We start from the raw sequence: 23,643 nt of genomic DNA, 5'->3' as shown, positions 1-23,643 counted from the left end.
CAGATCAATTTATAGAGGCTTCCTGGGATTGGAGGGGGCCCACTGGATCCAAGAACTCCTCGCTGGTGCTCTCTCCGCTATAGAACCCTTAGACTGGGCTCTCCTCTGTACAACATTTTAGGGTCTGCACAATCTCCACTTTGCACAAACTAGTAGAGCAGAGATCCATGCACAAAGTCACAAGCCCCTCAATTCCTCCCCCGTGGGAGCATCTTCAAGCCACCCCTACCAGGAAAAAAACCAGCTGGTTTCTCCCCGCTAGTGAAGTCATTTTGAGAAGAAAAATGATATTCCTAGAACCTGACACAATAGAAAGGTAGGAGCCCACATCTACTGTAAAGATTTCAACCTCCGTCTTCTGGTACCTCAAAGCCTCAGGGTACACAACAGGATGACTCAAACAAATTGAGAAAAACACTTAAAATGCAAGAGACCTGCTGATAATGAAGCTGGCAGGACTGAACATCTTCTCATTCAGCTAAGGCTAAATGGAAACTGGTGGCCTGCTTCAATCCAGGGCCATTTTGAAGAACATGCATGTGCCTGGTTCACAGGAAACCAAGTTGTCTGAGAAATGAAGGCAGAGGCTGAGAGAAGAACTACACCTACATGTCTGACCCATGGAGGAAAAGAATCATTTTCTTCTCTGAAACCTGGGGAAATGCAACACTCACAAAACACAGTCGTGTATGTGACCATACAGGGAGACATTGCGCTCCCATCAACCGAAACCTGCCTTATGAAACCTTTTAACTAAAATTATTTCATTTGCTTTCTAGAAAAAGGACATGCAATTTATTCAATGCATCAGACCATTCAAAGACACATCAAGCTTTCTTTTAAAAGAAATTTCTTATTTTATCCTAAAAAACCCTAAAAAAGTGAATATTTTTCAGGGTAGAAGTTGGTAGCATAAGCTGTTGACCAACAGTCCCTAGAAGAAAGATGCTGAGATGCGGAGATGTTTGGCCACTGGCCAAAGAACAGGTACCAAGTGATTATCTGAGGACCTGAGTCTTTGAAACCCCAAATCTAGTTAGTGCATGTCTCCTCCACAAAACCCAGGCAAAGGAAATGCCCATCTCCGAGAGCTCAAATAAAACATGGCAATGATTACAGAGAGCAGACTCCTCTTCAAAAGACCCCCGAAATACCAACGGCAGATTTCTCCAGAACAACACAGATGCAATGAAGTGCAAAACATAGGCCTTTTGCATTCCACTCAAGTATCGCCAGGAATTTAAGCCACGTTTAAGTAAAAGTAATTCTATTTTATTGATGCAGGAATTAGTATAATCACTGAAATACATCCAGAGGGTGCAGCCTTTATAGGAAAAGAGGAAGTCAGCATTAATTTGTTCAAAATGCTAACACTTAACTGCAAGCACAAAGTTAAACAACAGGACGTCTATAGAGTGTGCATTAAAGGTGAAGTCAAGAGGGAAAATGATGCAGAGAAATAACAGTTTTCTTGTAGAATTAAACATACCTTGTTAGAGCAGGGAAAATACCCTTGAATGCTTGCTTGCCAGCCCCCCCTTTTCTTGCTGGTACCAGGTGGAGCTACCCAACAGGTGTTGAGTTGTGGGGATCAGTTTGTTCTTAACCCTCAACTATGTGGTCACTGCTCTGGGTGAATTACCTGGGACCCTTTTTTCTCCTTCAAAACCCAGTTTCTGTCATCCCCAGGAGAGGGACAGCAGAGAAAATGAAATTCAATTTTCCACTTGCTAGAATTCTTAAGAGAAGCGGGTTTGTGGGAAGTGGGTTGGAACATCTGTCTAAAATTGGAACTCCGGCTAATGTGAGGGTTTGGATTGACTATTCTTTCCTCTGTCGTGAGAACCCATGACGTGGTGGAATCAAAGCAAATCCAAATCGGTCTTGCCCCAGAAAATTGACGAGGAAACGTCCTGCCCATCAGTCATGCAGAGACTAGTTCTTCCGAAATAGCTTCCCCGTTCCTCACTCTAAAGCTCACCAGACCTTTTTAGAAGATTTGGCTTTCCACAATTCTGGAATCTAAGAGAGGGCGACTTGTGTCTTAACTGGAGTGGGAAAACCAAGCAATCACTTTCTCGCTTCTCTCTGCCCCTCTTCAAGACTGAAAAGTCTGATCTAATTTATGGACACTCCAGGATAGGTGACCACAATCCATTGGAAAGACTGGAACAACTGTCACATTCTGAGCAGGGGTGACCAGTCTGGCCAGCCCCACACACCCTGCTGTGCCTGGCATTGTGTCTCTCAGACAGGGAGGGGCCCATCTTCTCTCTGAGGGCAACGCTTTGACCTTCATTCTGTTTCTTCCCAATCCCTGGGAGATCTTGTTCTTGCTTTCCCTCTAGAATGTCCCACTGCTTCATTTCTACTGGTTGCTTCCCCTCCCTCGTTTGGAAAACTAGGTGTCATGCTTGTTTTCCCCAGCCACGCTGCCATCTCCCTTCCTCATCTAAGATGAGTGTGTCTTGCAGCTTCAGCCATCATCACCCTCTGTCCCTGCAGTCGAACTTCCATCCTGACCACCCTATTCAGAGTCTCTGGGAGTTTCCTTCCTTGCTAGGAAGGGCCTCTCCCTTGCTGAATGCACCACCTTGGCCTCCTCATCCTGGACTCTTCTTATCAGCAGAGCCCCCTCATTTCCACTAACTCCTCCGCCTTCTCACTGCCTGCACCCTCTGCTCCTCCTGAGCACTATCTGTGGATGCTTCCTGAAGTATCTGGTGGTCTCGATTCTTGATTGTTGCTCTATACTCTCATCCTCTGAGACAGCCCATCTGTCTGCTCAGCACCCTTGGGTGTTTCATGCTTCTGTGCTGTTTGGTTAATAAAAAGTACCCTAGACTTAGAGCAATCACCCAAGACCAAACCCAATTGCAGCTGTGTAACCTTGGGCAAGGTAGCCAGCCTCTCTCAGATCAATGATGCTGCCTACCACACAGATTTATTAAGGGGAGGGAATAAAGCTGAAAACAGATGTGAAGCTACAAAGCTCAATGCCGGCACATAGTAGGTGTTCAATAAATGTTCATCCTATTCCCTAGCTGCGAGTTCCCCTTCCCAACTTATGATTTTGTAAGACACCAGGATCTTCCCACTTACCAGATCTTAATCTGCCATCAAATCTTAGAAAGTCTTTTTTTCTCTATTAGCCTTATCCCTTCTCCTCCATCCCCAGCATCCTCTCTCTAGTGTTGACCCATATCCCAAACACAAGCCCCTTAAATCTTTCACTCCATTATTTCCACTTCTTCTGCTCCACTGGGGTAATTTACTCTATTAACACAGGAGTGAGGCAAGATTCTTCTTGTTGCCACTTTTTCTCACCTTGTACACACATGCAGGCACACAAACACACACACACACACACACACACACACTTCTCTCATCTATCTGCAATGGCAGAAAGGAAAGAAGACAAGCTTCAGAATGGGACCAACTTGATGGAGGGTTCAATCTCCTATCCCCACCGAATATTAGACATGTAAGCTTCAGCAAGTGACTGAACCTTATGCACCTCCACTGCCTCATCTGTAAGACGGGTCAATACTCCCCCTGTGGGCTGTTGTGCCCTGCCCAGTACTTGGCACATAATAGATATTCAGTAAGGGTTGGCTTTTTCCCTTTCACACATCAGAGCCACAATAATTTCCCACCTCCTTTGTGATGCCTTTGCCAATTAGTCCAGCCACCGTTGGCCTCTGTCTCTGATGCACTAGAACATTCTTGGCCTCTTGTCCACAGTGTAGAATGCAACTGCACATTGATATGGGGCACTATGCAGGTTTTGTGTTACCAAGCAGGCTCTTAGCTTCCAGATGGGTCTGCCCATCTGTTTCTTAGATTATTTCTGGATTTCCCACAGTTTCCAGGACAATGTTGAGCTTATAAAAATAGTGATTATTGTAGTTACAAATTGTGTACCTTCTTCGACCCAGACACTATCATAATTGCTGTCATTTGTTCAATGGCTGCTGTGGACCAGGTGCCATCCTTGCAGGATTTTTTTCTTTCTCACAGTAACTCTTCAAGGTAGGTCTTATTATTTTCATTATGCAGTTGAGGAAACAGACTCTGAGGCAGAAGTGGCCTGAACAAATACTTGCAGATTGGAGTTGGGAGAACTGGATTCCAACCCAGGCCCACCAGGCACTATAGCCAAGCACCTTGTCACCAGGCTCCCAAAGTTCATTATGTCATTTCATTCTCCCAGCAACCCAGCAAGGTGGACATTTCACCCTATTTTGCATATGAAGACTTAAGGCTGCGGGTCCCTTGGCTGGTGGGCAGCAGAGCTGGGATTCCCCAGGACTGGCTGTCTCCAAGCTCCACACTGGAAGAATCAGGAGCAATAGATTTCTTCTTGCTCTCAGAAGGAAACCACCAACTCCACAGTCCCTGGGCAAGACAATAGCCTGAAGCAGCCACTGCTTCAGGGAAACACAGAAGGAGGAACGGACAGCCTAGGATCCCAAGGTCTGGGAGCTCACTCCAGCTCTGCCTCCTGGCAAATCTGTTGGCTTCCCTGGGCCTCACTTTCTTCATGTGTTCATCTAAAAAAAAGGAGGATGAAGTAAATGACATCTGAGGTTGCAGGACTGCTGCTAGCCCATACAGTGCCTTTGTGCAAATTACCACAGGTGCCCTTTCCTCTGGGTGGACTCAGCCCTATGAACGGGCATGTGTCTTGGCAGGGGAAGCATTGACTAGGTTTCCACCCTCTTTCTCCCCTCATCTGGGCATCTTTGTTAGCGGACAACCTATATCGCTGTACATGATGGTCATGACAGGTTCTTAATGGTTCTAACTAACTGTAGACAGTCCTGATTCTTGAAATCGCTTTAAAGAAGAATCAGGGGCTGGGCATGGTGGCTCACGCCTATAATGCCAACATTTTGGGAGGTTGAGGTGGGTGAATCGCTTGAGCTCAGGAGTTCACGACCAGCCTGAGCATCATGGCAAGACCCTGTCTCTACAAAAAGTACAAAAATTAGCTAGGCATGGTGGCCCGTGCCTATAGTCCCAGCTACTTAGGGGGCTGAGGTGGGAGGATTGCTTGGGCCCAGAAGGTTGAGGCTACAGTGAGCTGTGATCGCACCACTGCACTCCAGCCTGGGTGACAGAGTGAGACCCTGCCCCCCCCCCCAAAAAGAAGAAGAATCAGGGTATTGAATATCTGTCTCCTTTATCCAGCCCAGAGTGACGTGGCGTTTATCTCCTTTAAGCAATGAAATTGCACATTTTACCCAGCCATATGCCATGGGCAGCCAACATCAGTGTTTTGACCTTGCAGTGGGTACTAGACATTCTAAATTTAAATTCACATTGTGGGGTCCCCAAGCTAAAATGCTAATAGGACCCTTTACCCTTTAGAAGCTGTCACCAGGTCCTCATGGGATGTAGGATCTGTTCTACCACATACACCTATGACTTCAAACTTTCTGGTCTGTCTGGAATTCTGATTAGAATAGTCTCCCCTAGTCACAACAGCTCAAGGGACACAGCAAATCAAAACCAGCTCACCTTCACATGACAACACAGACACAAATGACAAGTGTTATCACCAGTCGCTGATGGGCAAGACTTCAGATAAGGACTTATGCCAAAGGATAAACATCAGGGCAAGGGACCAAAAGGAAACTACTGATTTTGAACTTCTGGTTCCACTTGTAACTACAGCTCTGAATTATCTCTCACATGTGTCTAGGTCATAAAATGGAAGCGTCTCTCTCCATACGCTTTTCTCTACATCTGCTTTGCAATTCAAACATATATATATATACACACACACACACACACATACCTACCCAGAGGCATCACTAACTAGTAACTGGTTATAAATCCAAGATCGCAGGAATCAATATGATGGCAAAATCCCACCATTTTTCAGTCTGGAGCTATAGCATCGTAGCTCTTTGTAAGCTCTTCCTGCAATGAGACAAGAATGCAGTCACAAGCTGATCTCTCATTTTAAATATATTTATGCTTTCTGTGTTTAAGCACAATCTCCTTTTCATTGTGGTAAAATATACCTAACATAAAATTTATCATTTTAACGATTCTTAAAGCGCACACTTCAATGATACATTCAAGGTAAATGGAAATACCATCCATTTCCAGAACTCTTCATCTTCCCAAACAGAAACTGTCCCCATTACACATTAACTCCCCAATCCCCCTGCTCCAGCCCCTGGCAATCACCATTCTGCTTTGTCTCTATGAATTTGGCTATTCTAGGAACCTCACGTAAGTGAAATCATATAGTACTTGTCCTTTCGTGTCTGGCTTATTTCACTGAGCATAATGTCCTCAAGCTTCACCCATGTGGGAGCATGTGTTAGAATTTTCTTCCTTTTCAAGGCTGAATAATACTCCACTGTATGGATAGAACACATTTTGTTTATCCATTTTTCTGTTGATGGACACTCGAATTGCTACCACCTTTTGGCCACTGTGAATAACGCTGCTATGAACATGGATATACAAATACTCATTTATATATGCCTTTCTTGACCAGTCAAGATGCAGAAGGCTTTGCTTGATCTGTGATTATGCTGAGTTCAGTTTGTTGTTGTTGTTGTTGTTGCTAGATGCAGATTCAATTCAATGAATCAACTGAAATAGAGCATTCTTGAAATTCACACTCAAAAATGAGCCAGTTTGAGGCTTGTTTGTGATACAAACCCTAAGAGAACTGTCTCCAAGGTTCTGTTTCTCCCCCATCTTTCTCCGTTCCTCCCAAATATTCGCCACCACTCTGGGATGAAGTTCATCACTTTTTCCATTTGAGCCTACCCTCCTACCAGAGGTCTCAGCAGCATTTTGTCTTGACTTCTATTCTATCAAACACCCGACTATCCCTCTTCCTTATAACCGGCTCTCCCTCTTCCTTATAACATCAACCTAAACCCTTTTGGCTCCTTCTCAACATGTAAAAGTATTCAAAACTCCCCCAGTTCACATATACACCCATGACACATGTGCACACATGCACACACATCCATGCACACACACACACACACGTGAGTCCTCACTCCATTCAGCTCCCCTCCAGCTCTCTCTGCCTTTAAATACTTCATCTACACTCACCGTCCCTCACTCCCTCACAGGTGAGTCACTCCTTAACCCACTGCAATCTGCCTTAGACCCCACCACTCCACCAACACCACCATCACCAAAGTCACCCCTACTATTAGTTTCCAGGGGTTGCCATAACAAATACCATGAACTGGGCAGCTTAAAACAAAAGAGACTTATCCTCTCATAATCTAGAGGTCAGAGTCCAAAGTCGAGGTGTCAGCAGGCCACCCTCCCTCCAAAAGCTCAAAGGGAGAATCTTTCCTTGCCTCTTCCAGCTTCTGTTGGCTCCGGGTGTTCCTTGGCTTGAGACCACATCTCTGCAGTCTCTGCCTCTGTCTTTATCTGGCTGCTTCTCCATGTCCCTGTGAATTCTGCTCGTCTCTTATGAGGACATCTAATTGGACTTAGAGCCCACCTTAATTCCATATGATCATATATTGACCCCTACCTTATTTATATCTGCAAAGACCCTATTTCCATATAAGGTCACCTTCTGAGGTTTGGGGTAGATACGAACTTTGGAGGGGAACCCTTCAATCCACAACACTAGTGAATCCCTATTGCCAAGTCCAATGGACAGCTCCCAGTAGCTCTATGCAGCATTTGTTTTGGTTATTCAAAATAGAAATAGATTTATGTTTCCTACTGGTTCTTTAGATGGTAGAAGCATATTAGGGGAAATTTTTAAATAGAAGAATTAAAAGAGAAAGCAAAGACACCCACAGAAACTTACAACTCAGAGATTAATCAAAATTTATACTTTGGAGAACATTCATTCTTTACACACACACATACACACACATTCACAAACATGCACACATTACTGTAAGATGGCAATATTTGCAAAGTAGACCATATGTTTCTTATGCTGCTGCTTCTCTTAATGCTGTGGCATGGACAATTTGCCAGGTCAATAAACATACACCCACTCATTCAATAAATAAGTGCTGTGGCCCTACTCCATGTACCACGTGCTTTTTCCAGGGCCTGAGCTCTAGCAGTGAATAAAACAGAAAGAGATCCCTACACTCCTGGAATGTACCTTCTGACAAGAGCCAACAGACAATTAAAAATGAAAACAATAACATCTACCATATTGGAAGGTGAAAAACACGACAGAAAAAGAAAACAGTAAAACAAGGAAGGATGACCATGAGTACTGGGAGGTAATGGATGAGATTTTAAATGTAAGCCTGGCCAGGTGTGGTGGCTCACACCTGTAATCCCAGCACTTTGGAAGGACGAGGGGGGTGGATCACCTGAGGTCAGGAGTTCAACACCAGCCTGGCCAACATGGTGAAACCCCATCTCTACTAAAAATACAAAAATTAGCCAGGCATGGTGGCATGCACCTGTAGTCCCAGCTACTTGGGAGGCTGAAGCAGGAGAATTGCTTGAACCCGGGAGGCAGAGGTTGCAGTGAGCTGAGTTCACTCCATTGCACCCCAGCCTGGGTGACAAGAGTGAAACTCCATCTCAAAAAAACAAAAAACAAATAAATAAATGCAAGCTTCATTGAAAAGATAATCTTTGCAAAGAGTTGAAGATCCCAAAATGTTGAAAAATAATTTTTAATGACTGCATGGTATTCCATTGATTATATCTGCAGCAGTATGTTTAACCAATGCTCTGGTGATAGACATTTGGGTTGTTTCTGATTTTTCACTATTATAAAAGAGGCTGTACTACATCCCTGCATACAATTTATGAATATTTGTTATGTTAATTCCTTAGAATAAATGACCCTCAATTGTCAGTCCAAGGTGAATTTTCATTTCTAAATTGTGATACCTACTCTTACCCTTCCTTCCGGAAAGACTGTGCTATTACACATAATACATACAAGTATGAAATTACACTTCCTCTCCCAACACACACCTTTCACATACTCATTTGTCATTTATTTAAAATTTTGCGAATCTTAGGGTAACAAAGTTTATCTTATTTGTATTGCTTTCCTTTGCCATGGATGGACAGTCTTTTTATATGTTTTCTAGCTACTTTTTTTAAGACAGAGTCTTGCTCTATTGCCCAGGCTGGAGTTCAGTGGCGTGATCTCGGCTCACTGCAACCTCTGCCTCCCAGGTTCAAGCGATTCTCTTGCCTCAGCCTCCTAAGTAGCTGGGATTACCAGCACGCACCACCATGCCCAGCTAATTTTTGTATTTTTAATAGAGACAGGGTTTCACTATGTTGGCCAGGTTGGTCTGGAACTTCTGATCTCATGATCCATATTCCTTCTATCAGAAACTCCTCATTTATTTCCTTTGACCATTTTTTTCTGTTGGGGTATTTATTGCTTTTGTAAACTGGGAATATATATGTGTCGTGTTGTAAATATTTTTCCTGTTTTTTTAATAGACATTTACAATTTTTACATTGTCAGAAATATTCTTTTAAAATAGTTTCTGGATTTCTGTCATGGTTAAAAAAAGGCCTGCCTAAATCTTAGAATTTTTTTTAAGACATCTTACACTTCTGTAGTTTTATTTTTTGCCTTTAAATCCTTGATCTCTTTAGAATTTATTCTAATAAAAGGAATAAGGAGAAGACTCATCATTTTTTTTCCAGGAGGGCAATCAGTTGTCCCACAGCCTGCAGTGAATAATGCCCTTGAGAAATGCTTCCTCTGCAACTGCTCCAGGTCCAGGTCGCCCTCAGCTCTAGCCCCACACACCTGGTTGCCTACAGGAGAACTCACCTGAATGTCTGCAGATACTTTAAACTGAATATGCCCAAACGAACATGATCCTCTGCCATCCAAAATCCATTCTTCCTGTCTCGACCACCATACTACCCAACCGCCATTGGGTCATTCTCCTGCCCACTCCCCTCCACACTCACTAGTCTCCAACTTAAATCAGTTCTACTTCTTAGCCCCAAATCCACTGCCATCTCTTCACTCCCATGGCTGCCTCCTTATTTCAGCACCTGGCCATTTCTCCTTCCTACAGGCACCCTTCAACAACCGACTGCCCAGTGACTCAAAGCCAGACTGCAGACGCTTCCTGTGTTACCCATGAGCTAAAACCTAGTAATAGTTGTGCGTGTTGTAAGGGTTGTAAAAAGTTTTTTTTTTTAATATGCAACAGAGACCTGTGTTTCCTGAAAGCAACACATTGACTAAGCAAAAGTATTTACCGTCTGGCTCTTTACAGAATGCTTGCCGACCCTTGCATCTAATCTATACTCCATACCACTGCTCTTCAGAGACCTTTCTAAAACACTCAAAATACTCAATCATATCACTCCCCAGTTTAAAAACAATCTCCTTAGTCTAGCACAGAGGACTTCAGGGCCCAGCGTGGGCTTCATCCACCTCTCTTTTCTCATTTCCCATTCCCCTTCATTTCCTCCACGCACACCGCATACCAGCAGTGCAGAATCTGTGCCACTCCCAACCAAAGTTGTTTCATGCCTTTAAAGACTTTTACACATGCTGTTCTTGCTTTTCTTTTTTTTTTTTATTTGTTTTCTATCAGTCAATTTGTATTTTAGATTCAAGGAGTACGTGTGCAGGATTGTTACATGGGCATATTGCTTGATGCTGAGGTTTGGAGTACAGCATTCTGTCACACATTTAGTGAACGTAGTACCAATAGGTTTTCAACCCTTGAGCCCGTCCCTCCTTCTCCCCTCTAGTAGTCCCCAGTGTTTCCCAATGCTATCTTTACATCCATTAATCCTCAGTGTTTAGCTCCTACTCATAAGTGAGAACATACAGTATTTGGTTTTCTGTTCCTGCGTTAATTCACTTGGGATAATGACCTCCACCTACTATGCTGCAAAGGATGTGATTTCATTCTTTTCATGGCTGTGTAGTATTCCATGGTGTATTGTACCACATTTTCTTTAACCAGTCCACCAATGATGGGCACCTAGGTTGATTCCATGTCTTTACTCTTTGTGAATAATGCTGCGATGAACATACAAATGCATGTATCTTCTTGGTAGAAGAATTTATTTTCCTTTAGGAATATATTCAGTAGTGGGATTGCTGGGTTGAATGGCAGCTCTGAGTTCTTTGAGAAATCTCCAAATTGCTTTCCACCGTGGCTAAACTAATTTATATTTCCACCAACAGTATATAAGTTTCCCTTTTCTCCACAGCCTCACAAGCATCTGTTGTTTTTTGACTTTTTAATAATAGCCATTCTGACTGGTGTGAGAAGGTATCTCACTGCGGCTTTCATTTGCATTTCTCTGATGATCGGAGATGTTAAACATTTTTTCATATGTTTGTTGACCACTTGTATGTCTTCTTTTGAGAAGTCTGTTTATGTCTGTTGCCCACTTGTTAATGGGGTTGTTTTTTCCTTGTTAAATTAAATTCCTTTTAGATTTTGGATATTACACCTTAGTCAGATGCAGTTTGCCAATATTATCTCCCATTACCTTGGTTGTCTGTTTACCCTGTTGATAGTTTGTTTTGCTGTACAGAGGCTCTTTAGTTTAATTAGGGCCTGCGTATCAACTTTTGACTTGTTGCAATTGTTTTCAAGGGACGTAGTCATATATTCTTTCCGAAGGCTGATGTCCAGAATGGTGTTTCCTAGGTTTCCTCCTAGGATTCTTATAGTTTGAGGTCTTACATTTAAACTTTTAATCTATATTGAGTTAATCTTTGTATATGGTGAAAGGTAGGGATTGAATTTCATTCTTCTGCACATGGCTAGCCAGCTATCCCAGTACCATTATTAAATAGAAAGTCCTTTCCCCACTGCTTATTTTTGTCAACCTTGTCAAAGATCAGATGGCTATAGGTATGTGGCTTTATTGCTGAGTTCTCTGTTCTGTTGCATTGGTCTATGTGTCTGTTTTTGTACCAGTACCGTGCTGTTTTGGTTACTGTAGCCTTATAGTGTAGTTTGAAGTCAGATAATGTGATGCTTCTGGCTTTGTACTTTTTGCCTACGATTGCTTTAGCTATTCAGGTTTTTTGGTTCCATATGAATTTTAGAACAGTTTTTATAAATCTGTGAAAAATGACATTGGTAGTTTCATAGGAATAGCATTGAATCTGTAGATTGCTTTGGGCAATATGGCTGTTTTAATGATATTGATTCTTCCAGTCCATGAGCATGGGATGTTTTTCCATTTGTGTCATCTCTGATTTCTTTCCACAGTGTTTTGTAGTTCTTGTAGAGATCATTCACCTCCTTGGTTAGATATATTCCTAGGTGTTTTATTTTTGTGTGGCTATGATAAGTGGGATTTTATTCTTGATTCAGCTCTCAGCTTGAACATTATTAGTGTATAGAAATGACACTGATTTTTGTACATTGATTTTTGCATCCTGAAACTCTACCGAAGTTGTTTATCAGTTCCAGGAGCCTTTTGGCAGAGTCTTTAGTATTTTTTAGGTATAGAATCATATTATCAGCAAAGAGAGATCATTTTACTTCTTCTCTTCCTATTTGGATGTACTTTATTTCTTTCCCTTGCCTGATTGCTCTGGCTAGGACTTCCTGTGCTTGCTTTTCAGATGCCCCACCATCCCAGTCTTTGTCCATCAGGAAGCAAGCACATACTCACCATTACCTTGGGCTAACCCATCCTGCTCTACACCCAAGACAAATTGAAATGTAATGTTGCCCATACCCTCCCCAGTGCCCCTTTCTCTGATCTCTGTTTCCACAGTGTTTTAACTTACTTCCAACCGGCGGAAATCTATTTCCAATGAGGCCATGTTGTAGCCTGTATCAGAATTTCCTTCCATATGTTTGTCCTTTTGTGTCTGGTTTATTTCATTTAAATAATGTCTTCAAGGTTCACCCATGTTGTAGCATATATCAGAATCTCCTTCCTTTTTAAGGCTGAGTAATAATCCATTGTATGTACATACCACATTTTGTTTAGCGATTCATTTCTTGACGCAACAGTTGTATTCACCTTTTCACTGCTGTGGAGAATGCTAGTATGAACACTGGTGTGCAAGTATCTGTTTGAGCCCCTGCTTTCAATCCCTTTGGGTTTCCTAGAAGTGCAATTGCTGGATTACATGGTAATTCTATGTTTAACTTTTTGAGGGACTAAGATACTGTTTTTCATAGCAGCTGCACTGTTTTACACTCCCACCAGTGATATACCAGCATTCCAATTTCTCTACATCCTGCCAACACTTGCTATTTTCTTTTTTTAAAATAATAACCATCTAATAGATGTGAAGTGGTATCTCATTATGGCTTTGATTTGCATTTTTCTAATGACTAGCAATGAAGAATTTCTTTTCATTTGTTTATTGGCCATTTGGATATCTTCTTTGGAGAGATGTCTATTCAAGTCCTTTGCCCATTTCTGAATGGGTTGTTTATTTTTTGTTAAGGTGTAAGAGTTCTTTATATATTCTGGATCCCAGTCCCTTATCAGATGTATGACTAGAAAATGTTTTCTCGGCCGGGCGCGGTGGCTCACGCCTGTAATCCCAGCACTTTGGGAGGCCGAGGCGGGTGGATCATGAGGTCAGGAGATCGAGACCATCCTGGCTAACAAGGTGAAACCCCGTCTCTACTAAAAATACAAAAAATTAGCCGGGCGCGGTGGCGGGCGCCTGTAGTCCCAGCTACTCGGGAGGCTGAGGCAGGAGAATGGCGTGAACCCGGGAAGCGGAGCTTGCAGTGAGCCGAGATTGCGCCACTGCAGTCCGCAGTCCGGCCTGGGCGACAGAGCGAGACTCCGTCTCAAAAAAAAAAAAAAAAGAAAAGAAAATGTTTTCTCCCATTCTGTGGGTTGGGGGTGATTTTTGATGAGGAAGAAACCACACTTCTGTGTCACTAAGGGCACTGCCCAAACAACTGACACTTGGTTAAACCCAAGAGAAAGATGACATCTGTCCCGTTCTCCTTAGCTCACTGTGACAGCGCCCCCAGCCCCCAGGCCTCCTGGACACCCTCCTCCTTCAAGGTCCCCTGGACAGTTACAGGGATAGCTGACTCGACTTGTCCTATAGGTTTCACTCCTCAAGTTGCCTCAAACTTGCATACATTCTCATTTTTCCTTCTAATTCATACCCCCAATAAGGACCCTGTAGGGTTTAGTTACGATTTTCTTGGATTCAGGTCAAGCAAATGTCTCAGTTTCTAAATTGTCAGCTGTATGGGATGGGATACCTTCAGATCAAGTGCTTTATCATTATTTAGCTCTTTGTGTGATACATTTCTTAAATCAGGTATCTAGAGTGTCTCGATGTGTTGTTTGGCAATTTGTTTTTTTAATTATAAAAGTAATATAAATGTATTCTAGAAAATTTCAAAAATGTTTGTTTAACAAGAAAATTAAAAGTACTCATGAACCCCCCCACCCAAAATTGCCCTATTAACATTCACATCTGGTGTATTTCCTTCCAATCTTTGACTTTGCAGGTACATTAGAGATCTATCCTGTTTTTCTCAACTAGGTTTTCCCCACGACATTAAAAAGTCTCAAAGTACTTTTTGTATGTTTTCTTGGATACTGGAAGTTTCACCTGCAAAATTCATATACAACTTGAAATGTAAGAAACATCTACTACAGACCAGGGCCACCAGGGGAGGCTTCCCTGCAACAAGAGCTGTACCTGAAATGCAACAACACAATCCCACTGATTCGAGGACAAGGCTCCGCCCAGCTGTGGCTCTGTCATTTATTATTATTTCTTTCAGATTAAATTTCAACATGAGGCTATTTTGTACCTTAGCTAGTTCCATGTAAATTGATAATTTTTCTAAAAGAGAAGGAGAAAGAAACAAAAGAGAGGAGGAGAAAAACTGACCTTCACACAGGCCCACATTTACTCTGAGCCAAAATCCTGAAAAGCTACTCTCAAAGTCAAGTAAATCATCAAAGTTCTCAGCGCCATTCTTTGGGTCCCTTTGCACATTTGTGCAGCATTTCATGGTTAACAGAGGGTGTACCCCCTCTACATTATCCTTGGTGGTAAGAAGTTGCCTGTGTCATCAGCTGTGCAGTAACATGGGAGAAATGTCTGCTCTCCCAACCACAGCTGCAACTTGCCCTACGGAGCAGCTCAAAATGCTCCTGGAGATGCGATTCAGATCCCCCGCTCAAATTCACACCTGGGATTCCGAGAAAGAAAGAAATGTCACAAAATGTGATCACCATTTCCTTCTATATTTACCCTGCAACATCTGCATGCATGCCAGTGAGTGCTGAGCCGCCGCTCCCTGCTCAGACCTGGACTCGCCCTCTCTCCCTAGCCCCATTCCCTGTGATGACTCTGGACACAGCCCTGAGGCTCTGGCCCCTCTTTTGCTCTCACCCACCCCATACCCCACACCCTCTCCTCCTCCTGGCCCCTCGGGGCTCCTCCTTCATCTCTTCTCTCCCAGAACTCTCACATTTCCTTGGCTTTTTTTATTTCTCTCAACTCCATGCCTGTTCATCCCACCAGCTGCCATGATGCAAGGCCCAGCCTTCCCTCCCCATCTCCCCATGGATGCACCTGGCCTGCACCCACGGCCTCACCTGGGAGGGACCCACCGGAGCCACCTTCCAAACACACTACCAGGGAGGTTTGGCTTTTTCTGTTTGTTTTGAAATTTTTGTTGTTTTTTTGTTTCCCATTGTTATTGTATTTTTTTTTTATTATTATACTTTAAGTTCTAGGGTACCTGTGCACAACGTGCAGGTTTGTTACATAGGTATACATGTGCCATGTTGGTGTGCTGCACCCATCAACTTGTCATTTACATTAGGTATTTCTCCTAATACTATCCCTCCCCCAATCCCCCACCCCCTAACAGGCACCGGTGTGTGATGTTCCCCGCCCTGCATCCAAGTGTTCTCATTGTTCAATTCCCACCTATGAGAATATGCAGTGTTTACTTTTTGTTGGTTTTTAAAGGCAATGAAGTAGCATTGCATTACATTTCTTCCCCTAATAACAAACACAAGCATTTAATTAACCCCAGACTAATTCATTACAAACACTAAACCCAGACATTCATCTTCGGCTTTCTTTTCTCTGTCTTTGCTCTTTCCCACAACCATTCCCCCTGACCACTCTTCTATCTGCTTATAGGTGTCATATATTTCTTCCCACAACATTAGAGATAAGGCTCAATTTGAAAACAGACACAAAATATATAATGGGTCAAACACAATCATTGCTTTTCTGGTTTCTAGACAGATAGATAGCAGCTCTCCACCCATGACTCAGGATCCAGGCTCCTTCACCTCTTGACTTCATTGTCCCCCACAGAAGGGGCAAAGGCATAAGGAGGGGACACATCCACTGTTTAGGACAATGGCCCAGGAAGACACACTCAACTCCAGATGGGCCAAGACTCAATCACCATGGCCAACCCTCAATGCAAAGAGGATGAGAAATGTGGTCCAGCCCTGGGAGGAACTGGATTTTAGGGGAGTAACAGATATCCCCCCAGACTTTCCAGAGCACTGATCGCTACTCATTCATTAACCTTTCAAAACAGGTTCTTCCAGGTCAGGACAATTGCCTGGAGCTGGGGGTTTGCAGTTTAGTCAGAAAAGGGATAAAGCCTACAAATTGGAGATGGAGGGGAGGCAGGAATAAATTTCCTTTGTAACATTTTTTAAGTATGATATATCACTGAAGACTTGAGAATCAGCTAATTTGACAAACCCTCTTCTCCCACTTAAGGACTCAGAAAGACAAGAGCTTAGGGTGGCTTTGCACAGCTGGGCAGCCTCCCAGCGGTCAAGACGGGATATACACCAGGCCTGCTGGACCCTTCGCAGGGCTCTGCAGACAAGGTCTCCCCAGCCAGGCACAGTTTGAGCCCAGACACCGTTCCATATAAAGTCATATTTAGAGACTTCCACTCAGCACAAAATTAGCAGTGAGAGCTCAGAGTTGTTGACCATTCAAGGACAAGAACACCCTGCCATGTAGGGGGTAGCGGCAGTGAGAAAGCCATGGCCTCTGCCTCCCTCCACACATCCCAACCCACCTCCAGTGAGAAGGACATGGCCTTTGCCTCCATCCATACACCCACCCCATCTCCAGTGAGAAGGACATGGCCCCTGCCTCCCTCCACACACCCACCCTAACTCCAGTGAGAAGGACATGGCCTCTGCCTCCATCCATACACCCACCCCACCTCCAGCCCTCCCAACCTCAACAGCCCCCCATCAACACCTATCCTGGTATTTGTTCTAAGAAAGGGAAAAAAGCAAATTTTCTTACAAATGAATGACTTTTCTTATTTTCAATGAAGGACTACTGAGGGAGATCATCTAAAAGTCAAAGCTGTCAGACTAGAGAGTAGGCTCTGCAGAACAGATGCTGTCTCTTCCTGAGGCTGAAACACAAAAACAGATCCAGGAGATTGATTTTTAAGGCAACTGATCATCCATGAGCAAGGTTAACTCATAAGTTAGGTTGGGGGCACTCAAATCCCATCTCCGGCTATGTTCTTATTCAGATAAATGATGGTTTGTGGAGAGATGACATTTGTCCTTTAACCAAGATTAAAAACAGAGTGTCCATAAAGGAAACACATGGCAGAGTCAAACGACACAGAATTTAAGTCTGGAGGAAGAAATTTCTTACCAAACTTGTAGAAGACTTTAGTATTATTGGCCAAATAAATAATTTCATAAGTGGATTATATGCTTTTAAACAGCAGAAATCGGTTCCAAAATTCCCCTGCACTCAAGTTTTAGGAGAGCTTTCCTAATGCATTATTAACTAATGAGTGAACCAGTGCATTAATCATGAAAGCCATAAGAAACAACATAACTAGACATGGTGCCTCATGCTTGTAATCCCAGCATTTTGGGAGGCCAAGGTGTGAGGATGGCTTGAGACCAGGAGTTCAAGACCAGTCTGAGCAACATAGTGAGACCCCCGTCTCCATGAAAATAAAATAATTGGCCAGGCATAGTGACATAAGCCTGAGCCTCCTGTGCCTACTCAGGAGGCTGAGGTGGGAGGATCACTTGAACCCAGGAGATCAAGGCTGCAGAGAGCTATGATGGTGCCACTATACTCTAGCCTGGGTGGCAGAGCGAGACCCTATCTCTAAAAAAAAAAAAAAAAATTTAAACTTTTTTAAAAGAAAAAAAATAACCACAAGCTAAAATTACAGATGTTGAATGTTGAGGAGGCAGAAACCAAATCAAATATGTAAGCACACAGACAGAGAGAACATTTCCCCACCCTTTTTTACTTACCTTGGCATTGAATCAACCATTAAAGTACAATGCATGCATACTTACCGACAAAAACCAGAAATGTTTTTTAAACCCTGAAATTTGGCCAATAGTTCAAAGAGCTTGTTCAAGACTCTTGCCCTAAACATAAGGAAAGTGACAAGGGAACAATTTATTACAAAAAAATATTGATTGCAAGTCTGTTACATGCAGGCACAGATCACATACATGGTTTTGTTTAACCTTATAACAACACTGTGAGTTGGGTATCATGATCAATTTTGTAAATGAGGAAACTGAGGCTCACGAATTTGGATAGTGTGTTGTAAGTCAGTTCAGGCTGCCATAATAAAATATCACAGAATGGGTGGCTTAAACAATGGACATTTATTTTCTCATCGTTCTGGAGGCTGGAGTTCAAGATCAAGGTGTTGGCAGGGTTAGTTTCTGGGAGCCCTCTCTCCTTGGTTTGCAGATGGCCACCTTCTCCCTGTGTCTCATATGGCTTTTCCTCTGTTTGTGTGCACCCCTGGTGTCTCTCCCTCTTCGCATAAGGATACCAGTCCTATTAGATTGGAGCCCCAACCCTATGGCCTCATATAACCTTTAACTATCTCCTTAAAGGCCTTATCTCCCAATACTGTCACCTTAGGGGTTGGGGCTCAAGCCCCATATGGATTTGGTGAGGACACAATACAGTCCATAACAGATATCATGGCCAAGAGCCCACTAAGAGTTGCTAAGTAGTAGAGCTAAGCCTGTCTGAATCTAAAGAGGACTCCTTCATCAGAGCTTACTGCCTCTCCCATGCCACAGCATCTCAGAGTTGGGAGGCATCCCTCTGTGAGAGCTGACTCAGTAGAACCTGCTGGCAGGGACACAATTTTGCAGCAATAAGCTCCGTCCTGGTGGGCAGGATGGTGAAGTACTTACACAAACTAGATCGAAGAGCACAGAAGTCCAAGTCAACTAGAGGCCTATCCAGATGGTGTGGAATAAAAATGGCTTTGTCTACTTTGTTTATAGCTACACAAATGGTATTTGGTTTCACCAGCCCATACAAAGTGTGCCGTTCCATTGTCCTCAAAGAGCCAGCCTTTCATTCAGTGTTTCTTTTCTTTTCTCCAAACCACCAGCTAACGTCCTGGAGGGCGACTCCATGGATCAGGACGTCGAAAGCCCAGTGGCCATTCACCAGCCAAAGTTGCCTAAGCAGGCCAGGGATGACCTGCCAAGACACATCAGCCGAGATCGGACCAAAAGGAAAATCCAGAGGTACGTGAGGAAAGACGGAAAGTGCAATGTTCATCACGGCAACGTGAGGGAGACCTATCGCTACCTGACCGATATCTTCACCACATTAGTGGACCTGAAGTGGAGATTCAACCTATTGATTTTTGTCATGGTTTACACAGTGACCTGGCTCTTTTTTGGAATGATCTGGTGGTTGATCGCATACATACGGGGAGACATGGACCACATAGAGGACCCCTCCTGGACTCCTTGTGTTACCAACCTCAACGGGTTCGTCTCTGCTTTTTTATTCTCAATAGAGACAGAAACCACCATTGGTTATGGCTACCGGGTCATCACAGATAAATGCCCAGAGGGAATTATTCTTCTCTTAATCCAATCTGTGTTGGGGTCCATTGTCAATGCATTCATGGTGGGATGCATGTTTGTAAAAATCTCTCAACCCAAGAAGAGGGCAGAGACCCTGGTCTTTTCCACCCATGCAGTGATCTCCATGCGGGATGGGAAACTGTGCCTGATGTTCCGGGTAGGGGACCTTAGGAATTCCCACATTGTGGAGGCTTCCATCAGAGCCAAGTTGATCAAATCCAAACAGACCTCGGAGGGGGAGTTCATCCCGTTGAACCAGACGGATATCAACGTAGGGTATTACACGGGGGATGACCGTCTGTTTCTGGTGTCACCGCTGATCATTAGCCATGAAATTAACCAACAGAGTCCTTTCTGGGAGATCTCCAAAGCCCAGCTGCCCAAAGAGGAACTGGAAATTGTGGTCATCCTAGAAGGAATGGTGGAAGCCACAGGTAAGATGTGTTCTATCCTGGGATGGCTGTGGGATAGATGCTCATTTTAAACTGGACCTGATGTTCTTATCTATTACAAGATCTAGAATACTGAACCTCACTCAATATTGACAACATCCCCTTGCTTCATGACATAGTATGCCTACATGTCTCACCTGAAGTATATCCACCAAGAAGCCTAACCATTTAGTTTTTTAAAGCCCTTTGGAAAATAAATTAATGAACAATGAAAAATCACCATGTAATATATTTTAAGTCTCCAAATATTTACCTAAATTAAACTCTGATCTGTCTCTAAAGCATGTTTTAAATGGCCTTAAAACATTGCTAATTTAAATACTTGAGGTTATTTGTTACCAAGTTAGAAGGAGGAAGTTAAGCCTTTCAAAGGAAGCCTGACAAACTGCTTTAATAAAAATGCAATTTCACCCATTCTTTGAGAGTCATTTATAAGGCCTATAGCATTGGTTTTTCTTTTGTATGAAGTGAGTGCCTAGTATCTCTCCACATTCAACCTGCTGAGCTCCCAGTAAGTATAAAGCTGCAGACACAGTAAATAACTCTAGCAGAAAAGAAAAAAGTTGAAGATCCATTCATCTTAATCCCGCCGGCCCTCCTGCTGTTAATGGCTAATCATTGGGATGTTTTAGGGAAGATGATCTGTTCAGGAAATAGAGAAAATGGTCTGTTTTTACTGACGTCTTCGCTCATGTCTGAAATTTGCACGTTACACATCCCAACAGCAAAGCAGGTTCTGCCCATGTTTGTATGTAACATCCCCCAAAACAGAGCCATCAGCTAGGACTCAAGATAACCATAGTGCCTCACGGGGAAAGTATAAACCAGAACCCTAATTCATTAAGGTCTTTATTGTTCTTTGAGGTAGTAATAGTGTCTTTGGGGTCCTTTTTCCTGATACCATCAGCCCTTTTACGCTTTTAAGTCTTCAGCTTGAGATTCAGGTGGTTTATATTGTCTGAAATTGCATGACCAGCAGGCTGGCCCCATGTTCTTCATCAACCTGTGACAAGTAACTTAATCCTGTGATCCCTTTTAGGGAAAAGCCATGGGTCCCATGTTTCTACCTCCCTGTACCCAACAGGCAAGGTCACAACCTCTCACAAATTTCTTTTACGGTGGTGGTGTGAAACTTTTGCTATAGGGTTTTTAAATGCAGCAAACAGTGAAAACGTGAGTAAAGGGCTTTGCATGGAGCTCAATGGTAGGAGCGGTCTCCTTTCCATAGAACAAAAGGCACAGGAACCTAATCGGAAAGTAGCTTTAAAGAATAACAAAAGTCACTGTTGCAAAATAAGACATAAGTGCTCCAGGTGTTAACAGGACTATCTGTACCTTGAGCCTGATTTGGGGGTGCATTTGTGTGGCAATAGTTGGGTGGGGAGGAGGAAGGGAGATAGAAGGGAGAAGTAGAAGGGAAGGCAGGGGAGGAGGAAGGGGAGGAAGGAGAGGAGGAGAAGGGGAGGAAGGAGGGAAGAGAAAGGGAGGAAGGAGAGGAGGAGAAGGGGAGGAAGGAGGGAAGAGAAAGGGAGGAAGGAGAGGAGGAGAAGGGGAGGAGGGAGGGAAGAGGAGGGAGAGAGGAGGAGGGGAGGAGGGAGGGAAGAGAAAGGGAGGAAGAAGAGGAGGAGAAGGGGAGGAGGGAGGGAGGAGGAGGGAGGGAAGAGAAAGGGAGGAAGGAGAGGAGGAGAAGGGGAGGAGGGAGGGAAGAGAAAGGGAGGAGGGAGAGAGGAGGAGGGGAGGCTGGGGAGGAGGGAGGAAAGAGAAATAATTCAAACAGGGAGCTGTCACTTTCCTACAGACCAGAAACTTCCCCAACCTCAGCTGAGCACAGGGACTCTGGATCCCCCTAGCGGCCACAGAGCTACAGCCTCTGACACTATGAACTGACCACTCAGGATGCAGTTTTTCTTTTCCCTTTTCACCATAAATTCCCCCAAGAGGACATGAGAGAGGGCAGTGTCTCCAAGCTCAAGAAGCAAAAACCACTGGAGACGTACCCTCTGGTTACTGATGCTAGTCTGAGCTTTAAATTGTGGGAGTTAAGCTTTGTGTTCCCTCAAACCAGAGCCCAATCTCTGTAAAATAAATGAATCTGGAATAAGCAAATTATCTTTGTGATGTCCCTGAGTCAGAATTCTCCCTGGGGCAGGCCCTGGCTTTCTGATGACAGCTGGTAATGAGTGAGCCTTTCCAAAGGGAGGAATATGGTTTTCTTGGTAATTAACAGTGATACTTGCCTCTGAGCACCCTATGGCCTTTCTACAGCTTTCATAGAGAAATCTGAGTAATTACCAGCAAAATCAATCCAAACGCTCACCCCATCCCTGGGAAAAGGCAACTGCTACTCATTTTCTTTTAAAAAATAGTCTTCTAATTTCTAGACTTGGGGGGGGGGTTCTAGAAAGTTCTGGAGGTGTCTGGAAACTGGAAGTGTCTTGGTCTTTTCCTCAGGGGAATCATACAACTCAGTACCCCCAGCACAGCTGCTCTCTTACGCTTCAGCAGGATACTGTTTCTTTGTGAATGAAAAGCTCAATTAGGATTTATGGGCATTAAACAGGCCCTTAGGGGAGAAAAATGCTTCAATCTCTCAAAACCACAGGAAAAAAAAATGTGGACCAAATGCACACTCGAGGAAAACAAATTCACAGGGATCTAATTATTCATTGTAGTGCTGGACTGGAAATCAGGAGCCGTGATAATAGCAAGCTGACACAAAACAGCTTCCCCTGCGCTCATCACTTCTTTCAACAATGTCGCAGTTGACCTTAACCTGCTGTGCTCAGTGGTCTCCACGAGCAGGCCTCTTCCAGGGAGGAGGGAAGGCCCACATGGCCACCTTCACGCGGTGCCCTCTTCCCTGTTAGGAAGCAGGCATCCTGGGCACAGGATGATCCCAGCGTGGTGTTTTCCGGAGACCGGAGTTGTCCCACAGGAGGCCACCTGGGTCCTTCCGTCTGCTGGGAGCTCAGGCCCGGTGCAGGCGAGTGGTGCTCTGTGGATGCACTGCCTTCCAATGCCAGCCGCATTGCAGGGTCAGGTTCCATTTTTAGAAAACGAAAGTGGGCTCCTTGAAGGCTGGAAGCGAGCCCCCCTTTCATGGCCTTGAAGGGACTGCACAAAAGACAGACCCATGCCCACGCAGAACAGCCCCGAGTCCTTTGTGAATGGCTTTGGCCTGGTCCCGCCTGAAGTCAGGAGGGACATGCCAGGCGACCTTTCAAGAACCTTCCAGTCATGTGGTTCTATTTTTGAAAATGAATCAAACCCTGGAAAATTCTGACACCAGCCACTCAGACATCTAGGAGTTGGCTGTGTCTCATCTGCAGATATATTTTTAAAGGGGGCCGTTTAT

At 43.9% G+C, this 23,643-nt stretch overlaps 1 protein-coding gene and 1 long non-coding RNA gene across 2 annotated transcripts in view, besides 1 other annotated feature; one reads left to right on the top strand and one right to left on the bottom strand.

The window, feature by feature from the left end:
• Positions 1-23,643, bottom strand: part of KCNJ6-AS1 (KCNJ6 antisense RNA 1) — a 222,067-nt gene that overhangs the window by 6,222 nt on the left and 192,202 nt on the right. The window contains exons 4-7 of the long non-coding RNA NR_183540.1: positions 18,280-20,245; positions 17,246-17,360; positions 5,808-5,928; positions 3,657-4,553 (exon numbers count right to left, since the gene is read on the bottom strand). This is a non-coding gene — a long non-coding RNA (KCNJ6 antisense RNA 1). The remainder of the gene's footprint in view (positions 1-3,656; positions 4,554-5,807; positions 5,929-17,245; positions 17,361-18,279; positions 20,246-23,643) is intronic.
• KCNJ6 (potassium inwardly rectifying channel subfamily J member 6) overlaps positions 1-23,643 on the top strand; it is a 309,085-nt gene that overhangs the window by 181,977 nt on the left and 103,465 nt on the right. The window contains exon 3 of the mRNA NM_002240.5: positions 19,350-20,270. Within this exon, the coding sequence (NP_002231.1) occupies positions 19,350-20,270 (921 nt within the window). The remainder of the gene's footprint in view (positions 1-19,349; positions 20,271-23,643) is intronic.
• Positions 22,099-22,148: a silencer, noted in NCBI's record as "silent region_13309". NCBI's record gives its function as "represses an Ori minimal core promoter by ATAC-STARR-seq in GM12878 lymphoblastoid cells {active_cell/tissue: GM12878}" and the evidence as "EXISTENCE:reporter gene assay evidence [ECO:0000049][PMID:35858748]".

The sequence above is a fragment of the Homo sapiens genome, chromosome 21 (assembly GCF_000001405.40).
Source record: "Homo sapiens chromosome 21, GRCh38.p14 Primary Assembly".
Lineage (NCBI taxonomy): Eukaryota > Metazoa > Chordata > Mammalia > Primates > Hominidae > Homo > Homo sapiens.
This window is presented reverse-complemented; position numbering and strand designations above follow the sequence as displayed.